Source organism: Homo sapiens, chromosome 12, assembly GCF_000001405.40.
Source record: "Homo sapiens chromosome 12, GRCh38.p14 Primary Assembly".
In the NCBI taxonomy this organism is placed as follows: domain Eukaryota; kingdom Metazoa; phylum Chordata; class Mammalia; order Primates; family Hominidae; genus Homo; species Homo sapiens.
The window spans coordinates 66,066,021-66,074,376 of NC_000012.12; the positions used below are offsets into that span (position 1 = coordinate 66,066,021).

The 8,356-nt window shown below is 37.6% G+C and overlaps 1 pseudogene, besides 1 other annotated feature; it reads left to right on the forward strand.

The window, feature by feature from the left end:
• Window positions 201-318, forward strand: RNA5SP362 (RNA, 5S ribosomal pseudogene 362; annotated as a pseudogene).
• Window positions 634-743: an enhancer, noted in NCBI's record as "active region_6610". NCBI's record gives its function as "activates an Ori minimal core promoter by ATAC-STARR-seq in GM12878 lymphoblastoid cells {active_cell/tissue: GM12878}" and the evidence as "EXISTENCE:reporter gene assay evidence [ECO:0000049][PMID:35858748]".

Genomic DNA, 8,356 nt, shown 5'->3' on the forward strand with positions numbered 1-8,356 from the left:
AATATGCGGGCTCAGAATTAATATTGTTTTTGACTTATAGGGAAATTCCAGTTGTGTTTAACTTGGACTGTGGGATCCAGGAACTTTACAGAGAGGAGAAACCAATGTGTTTTGAGCAAAAATGTGTATGGGGAGTTCCCTACTGTTTTGTTGCTGGAATCTTGGACAACACAGAGAAAAATGACAAGCACATAATTTAGTCTGGCAGCCATACCACTCTGTGCTGTGAGCCTGTCAGTTCTTTCTAGCTAAGTAAGTGCTGGCCTGCTTTGGTGCAAGGATGAGAGACCTCCCAGGAACAAGTAGGTACTTCAGGAGATGGTGTTTCGCATTCAGTAGGTGGCCTCTCCTCTCCGGGTCCATGTGAATCGATGCCCCGCGTGGTGTTAGGGGGCACTGTCTGCACTGAGCTGTTTACCTTTTGTATGAAACTTAAAACCACAGACCTAACCATTTGTGGTCACCAGAGATCTTATGGCAGACTTTCTAAGAGCAGTTGTGTTAACTCCAGAATCCTGGCCGGAGTCCAACTAAAGTAATTACATTCTGCCTCCCTAAAATACCCCCTGCAGTTTCAATTGAATACAATAGTCTTAGCCCTCTGTCTCAAAGCTGGGCATGATATTAGGATTCCATGCAGGAACAGCCTGTGATTCCATGCTAAAAGAAGTGATTCCCCAATCCTCACCAAGGTGTAGTGATGCTTAATTAATTAGTGCTCATAAAAGCCTGCGGAGAACCACAGTTTCAAAGTGCTCACAGTATGCAAAGTGGCAGGAATGTTCACATGTTCATCTGTCTGTAAAAGCCAGCAGTCAGTGTGGTCTCAGACTGCCTTCACAGAAGCAGAAATTCAGGACAAGGGAGGTAGGGTTGTGTCCCATTGCCCTCTGGCCTGGAAATATATCTGGAGCAGTGTGCTCAACTCTGGAGATGCACTTAAAAAGGGTACCTCATCTAGGTAGAGCAAGTCCTCAGAGGCCATCAGAATGAGGAAGGATCTAGAAATGATGTCATATGAGGGATGGTTAAAGGAACTTGGGGCGTTTAGCTAAAAAGGAAGGAAGGAAGGAAGGAAGGAAGGAAGGAAGGAAGGAAGGAAGGAAGGAAGGAATCCATTCACCAAGACCAAATTCAAGTCTATCAGATGAAATGCAGTCCTCCAAGGACTCATTTAGTCCTCACTGTCTGTAGCACTAATTTGGACCTTTTCACAGGCTCTTATTGGCTATCTAATTAATTCTGAATGTCTTCTCTCGTTCAACATGTGTCTAAGACTTCCCAGAGCAGGCACCATGCTTGATAGGTCGTATCTGTAGTAGTGGTAAGCAAAGTAAATTCAACTCAGTCCTTTGCAGGAGCTGTTTATTAAGAACCTGTGACATGTGTGCTGGGTGTACAAAGATGACTAAGATAAACCTGCCATCAAGTGTGACTTCTAACTGTATGGCATAAATTATAAAAGAACAGATAAATAAAAGAAAGAAAAAAATCCCACCAAGTTAGAAGGTTCAGGAAAGATTTTTATGAAGGAAGAACATATTTTTTAATAAGTTAACGTGTCAGGGGAAGACATTTTACAGGGAAAGAGCCTTAACCCTTTCTCCACTTAGAAAAAAAAAAGTGCAGCTTTCTGCCAGCACTCATTTAATTTTACATAAACACACTCCTTGAGGCTGAAGAAAATCTGACTGATTTTCAATGTGAAAATAAAATATAAAAACTGTTCTTGGAGTTATTTCTAAACAGAACTAACATCAGAATTGTCTGATTCATTGAAATAGTCTATTTCAGAAAAAAGTCAGATTCATCAAATTAATCTTCAGCTAACAACTGTTTGAGAACAATGTTACCACGTGTAGGAATGTCACATTTTCTAGGATTTGACATTTTCAGCAATCAAGAATTACTTTCTCTTTCTCTCTCTCTATATATATACACACACATAAATATACATATATACACATATATTATATATGCGTATTTATATATTACATATAAACATATATACACAAATATGTATATATTATATATACAATATATACACAAATATGTATATATTATATATACAATATATACACAAATATGTATATATTATATACACAATATATACACAAATATGTATATATTATATATACAATATATACACAAATATGTATATATTATATATACAATATATACACAAATATGTATATATTATATATACAATATATACACAAATATGTATATATTATATATACAATATACACACAAATATGTATATATTATATATACAATATACACACAAATATGTATATATTATATATACAATATACACACAAATATGTATATATTATATATACAATATACACACAAATATGTATATATTATATATACAATATATACACAAATATGTATATATTATATATACAATATACACACAAATATGTATATATTATATATACAATATATACACATAAATATGTATATATTATATATACAATATACACACAAATATGTATATATTATATATACAATATATACACATAAATATGTATATATTATATATACAATATATACACATAAATATGTATATATTATATATACAATATATACACATAAATATGTATATCATATATATACACATAAATATGTATATAATATATATACACATAAATATGTATATAATATATATACACATAAATATGTATATATTATATATACACATAAATATGTATATATTATATATACACATATACACATAAATATGTATATATTATATATACACATATATACACATAAATATGTATACATTATATATACACATATATACACATATGTGTATACATTATATATACACATGTGTGTATACATTATATATACACATGTGTGTATACATTATATATACACATGTGTGTATACATTATATATACACATGTGTGTATACATTATATATACACATGTGTGTATACATTATATATACACATGTGTGTATACATTATATACACATGTGTGTATATATTATATATACATGTGTGTATATATAATATATATAATATATTATATAATATATATAATGCATATATAATATATACACATGTGTATATATTCTATATACACATATATACACACATGTGTATATTATATATACACAGATGTGTATATTATATATACACAGATGTATATGTAATATATACACAGATGTATATGTAATATATACACATATATGTGTATATGTTATACATACATATGTGTATATGTAATATATACACATATGTGAATATGTAATATATACATATATGTCTATATTACATATACACATATGTGTCTATATTATATATACACATATGTGTCTATATTATATATACACATATGTGTCTATATTATATATACACATATGTGTCTATATTATATATACACATATGTATATATTATATATACACATATATGTATATTATATATACACATATATGTATATGTTATATAAACACATATATGTATATGTTATATATACACATATATGTATATGTTATATAAACACATATATGTATTAGATAACTTTGCCACAAAATATCTCACTTTCATTGTTATTATTTTTGCATTGCTCTTATATAGTGACCTTGGAAACAAAAGACATCATTCTATTTATAGCATTCTGGTTTTAGTAATCATACTTTCATTTAAAAAATATAGTAATTTTTGGCCCGGCGTGGTGGCTCATGCCCGTAATCCCAGTACTTTGGGAGGCCGAGGCGGGCTCCCAAAAGTCAGTATATTCCGAATTGACCGTTCCTTCTGTTTTCTTTTCCTTCCCTAACTATATCTTCTATTTCAAGAAACATCTTTACATAATTCACAGAAATTACTCCGTGTTTTCCCACTTTCAGGCCCTTGCACTTACACCCTCTGCCTGTTTGCCTCCTGAATACATATAGATATATACACATATATATACACATATATACATATATATGTATGTGTGTATATATAAAATAAATATATATACATATAAAATAAATATATATACATATATATATATTTTTGGATAGGGAGTTTTGCTCCTGTTGCCCAGGCTGGAGTGCAATGGTGCAATCTGAGCTTACCACAACCTCCGCCTCCCGGATTCAAGTGATTCTCCTGCCTCAGCCTCCCGAGTAGCTGGGATTACAGGCATGAGCCACCACGCCAGGCTTATTTTGTATTTTTAGTAGAGACGGGGTTTCTCCATGTTGGTCAGGCTGGTCTTGAACTCCCGACCTCAGGTGATCCGCCCGCCTCGGCCTCCCAAAGTACTGGGATTACAGGCATGAGCCACTGTGCCTGGCCAAAAATTACTATATTTTTAAAATGAAAATATGATTACTAAAACCAGAATGCTATAAATAGAATGATGTCTTTTGTTTCCAAGGTCACTATACAAGAGCGATGCAAAAATAATAACAATGAAAGTGAGATATTTTGTGGCAAAGTTATCTAAGGCCAAACACTGTGGCCACAAGCTCTGCCAGCAAGTATTCAGGGGGCAAACAGGCAGAGGGTGTAAGTGCAAGGGCCTGAAAGTGGGAAAACACGGAGTAATTTCTGGGAATTATATAAAGATGTTTCTTGAAATAGAGGATATAGTTTGGGAAGGAAAAGAAAACAGAAGGAGAGGTCAATTAGGAATATATTTTGGAGGGCTCTGAGAAATTAGTATTGGCTATGGTTTTAATGTGTCCCCCAAATTTTATATGTCGGAAACGGAATCCCAGAATTCATATGTTGATGGTATTTGGAGGTGGGGCCTTTGGGAGGTAGTTGGGATTAGATAAAGTCCTCAGGGTGGGGCCCCCATGATGGGACTGGAGGCTTTCTAAGAAGAGGAAGAGAGACCCAGGCTGACACTCGGGCTCCTACCCTCTTGCCCTGTGGCGCCTCTGCCGTGCTATGACCCCGCATGAGGCCCTTGCCAGAAGCTGACCACATGCAGCCTCTCAACCTTGGACTGCTCAGCTTCTAGAATTGTAAGGAACAAATTTCTTTTATTTGTAAATTACCCAGCCTCAGGTATTCTGTAATACGAACAGAAAACAAACTGAGATAGTGCATTACTGTTCAGCAAAAAGCAGTTAGCTATTGAAGGGGGAGCTACTGAGATGAGCCCTCCACCTCAGGATGCTGCTGTAGCAGGGCTGTGCCAGGCAGATGAGAGAGCCGAAGGCTGGAGTCCAGGTCATTTCTAGGCTAACCAGGGAGGGGGACTCTGGTGCAAAAGATGTGGGAGTGGGGGCCCCTTTCTCGATATCATAGGTAACCCCATACTGGTTACCAACTTGACTTTCTGTGAGTGGCATAGCTCACCCTCACTACTTTCCCTGCGGCCCACCACCCCCACACTGGCAGGCTAACTGCATGGTACGCCCTGGGGGGAATAGGCTGAGAATTCTGAGCCTCAACTCCACCCAGTCTTGGAAATTCTAGCCCTTTATCTCTTTGCCCCTATAACCTGTATCAGAAGCTTAGATTAATCGCTGAGGGACTGCACCCAGGGAGGGATGGGGTGTTACTGGGGAAACTGGATTTACCCTCTAGTTGCTAGGTCTGGCTCCAAGTTCTAGGTTTCCTCATTCCAAGTTCTAGGACCCTTGATATGAGCCATTCCTCTGGACCCTTTCCTCAGGGAGTTTGGTGAGGAAAGAACATGTTAGCATATCCTTAGAGACTGCTGTGGCCTAAGAATAGAAAAAGAGGAAATCACTGCATTGTGGGGGATTCCAGTCCCTCCACTTCTTGCTTCTCTTGGGCCCAGAGAGAAGCTGTTTTCCTTTACAAACAGTGCAGTGCATACATCCAGGGCATAAGAGTTTTGTTCTTTCCTGCGCTTTGAGGAGACTACAGTGTATTTTGCCTTAAATATATGCCCCAACATTTACCAGCTTCACAGTCTGCATATTTCACTTCTAACACTGAGGTTAAAACAAAAATGAATACAATATTTTTTAGACGTGAATGAAATCAACAAGTTTTGTTTTGTTTTTTAAACTTTTGCCATAAACTGTGACTAGTTTTAATGATTTCACAAATTGCTATCTCTAAATTCTAGGAATGTGTGTTTGAGGCTCCCCTATTTTGAGATTATAGACAGGCCAAAGATACAATCTGAACAAATTTTTTATCAAGATAAGGGATGGGGGCTGGTGACATAGAATAAGGGTGTTTCCAAGAGGGTTCAGGACTGGGAGGGAAAATAATCCAAAGTTGTGACCTGTGTTGGACCAACAGTGAAACAAAAACAGCATAAGCTTCCTCTTAGAGAGTTGTGGGAACCTAGAAGTTCCTCTTATGCGAACACCTTCACTTAACAAGTGAGAAACATTAAAACTGAAAGAGAAATTTTCCTAAGCCCTGTTATAAGAAATAAATGTGTAGGAACAGATTACAAGGCAGTATCTATAGTTTTAAGGGTTGGTTCATCAAGCCTATGTTTTGTTGATCTACTAACTACAAATTTGAATGCGAGAGGGACCAATATATAAAAATCCATTCCTTGTCTGAGTTCTTCAACCTGCAAACACACTCAATGATAACAGAAGAATATCAGGATGTGTCTATTGCAAGCTGTTTGTCTTATTTCAGCCTATTAGCATCCCTGGGAGGACGGCATTATCACCTAGTTGTAAAGATGAGGAAACTTGTTTGGCTAAAGTGACTCAACTTGTAAGATATCAAAGTGTGATGTGTCTGGCTTCCAAGCCTAATGTTTTCAGTTGCAACGTAACTTTTTCTATGTTGATTTCCCATTAGCGCTAGGTCTACATGTGAAAATTTCAGTTCTAATTTCCGTTTTAGGAATGGTTCACACTCTGAATCATGTGAGGTTCCTTACGTGGCTTGCGACCAACTGGCCATTACAGTTAATCCCTCGAATCTCTTCCAGGGTATCACCAAATCATTCTCCAAATAAAATTATTCAAAAATCAAATCCAAGGATAAGAAAAAAGTGAGCAGAGGGGAGTCCATTAAGTTTCATCTTCTTCCAATTAGTTCAACACTCTTCACTTATTTGGCTGTTCCAAAGATATTTTGTCCTGCTTAAAAATAGAGGTGCGGCCAGGCATGGTGGCTCACGCCTGTAATCCCAGCACTTTGGGAGGCTGAGGTGGGCGGATCACGAGGTCAGGAGATCGAGACCTTCCCGGTGAACACTGTGAAACCCGTCTCTACTAAAAACAGAAAAAAATTAGCCGGGTGTGGTGGCGGGTGCCTGTAGTCCCAGCTACTCGGGAGGCTGAGGCAGGAGAATGGCATGAACCTGGGGGGCGGAGCTTGCAGTGAGCGGAGATTGCGCCACTGCACTCCAGCCTGGGCAACAGAGCGAGACTCCATTTCAAAAAAAAAAAAAAAAAAATGAGGTGCAAGGTGCAACAACATTCCATTCAAAAAACAGCTAGCATATCTTCTGGCATTTTTAAAAAAGAAGTTTAACCCAGAAATCCTATAAGATTCTTTTTTTTTTTTTAAATTTTAGACAGAGTCTCCCTCTGTCACCCAGGCTGGAGTGTAGGAGTGTAGTGGCGCTATTTCGGCTTACTGCAACCTCCACCTCCCTGGTTCAAGTGATTCTCCTGCCTCTGCCTTCTGAGTAGCTGGGAGTACAGGTGCATGCCACCACATCTGACAATTTTTTTTTTTGTATTATCAGAAAAGTCAGGGTTTTGCCATGTTGACTAGGCTAGTCTCGAACTCTTAGCCTCAAGTGATCCTCCCACCTCAGCCTCCCAAAGTGCTGGGATTACGGGTGTGAGCCACTCACCCGGCCAATTCTGTAAGATTCTATAAGTTCTCCTGCACTTGCCAGGTGTGGCAACTCATGCCTATAATCCCAGCACTTGGGGAAGCTGAGGCAGAGGCCAGGAGTTCTAGGTTACAGAGAGCTATGATCGTGCCACTGCACTCCAGCCTAGGCAACAGAATGAGACCCTATCTCTATTTTTTAAGAAGGGAGGGTACTGGTTGAGGTGGCTTACACCTGTAATCTCAACGCTTTGGGAGGCCAAGGTGGCAGGATTGCTTGAGGCCAGGAGTTTGACACCAGCCTGGACAACATAGCAAGACCTCGTCTCTGCTAATATATATATATATATTTTTTTTAATTAAATGAGCATGGTGATGTGTGCCAGCTGAGCTTAAGTCCAGGAGTTCAAAACTGCAGTGAACTATGATCATGCCACTGCACACTCCAGCCTGGGCAACAGAACAAGACCCTGTCTCAAAACAAAACAAAACAAAAACAAACAAAAAACCACAAAGTTTTCTGCAGTTGATCATGAGAGGCAAGCTGTCTCTTAAACTGAGAGCAGAAAAGCAATGGCAAGGAATATAGGAAACTTTTCTGATA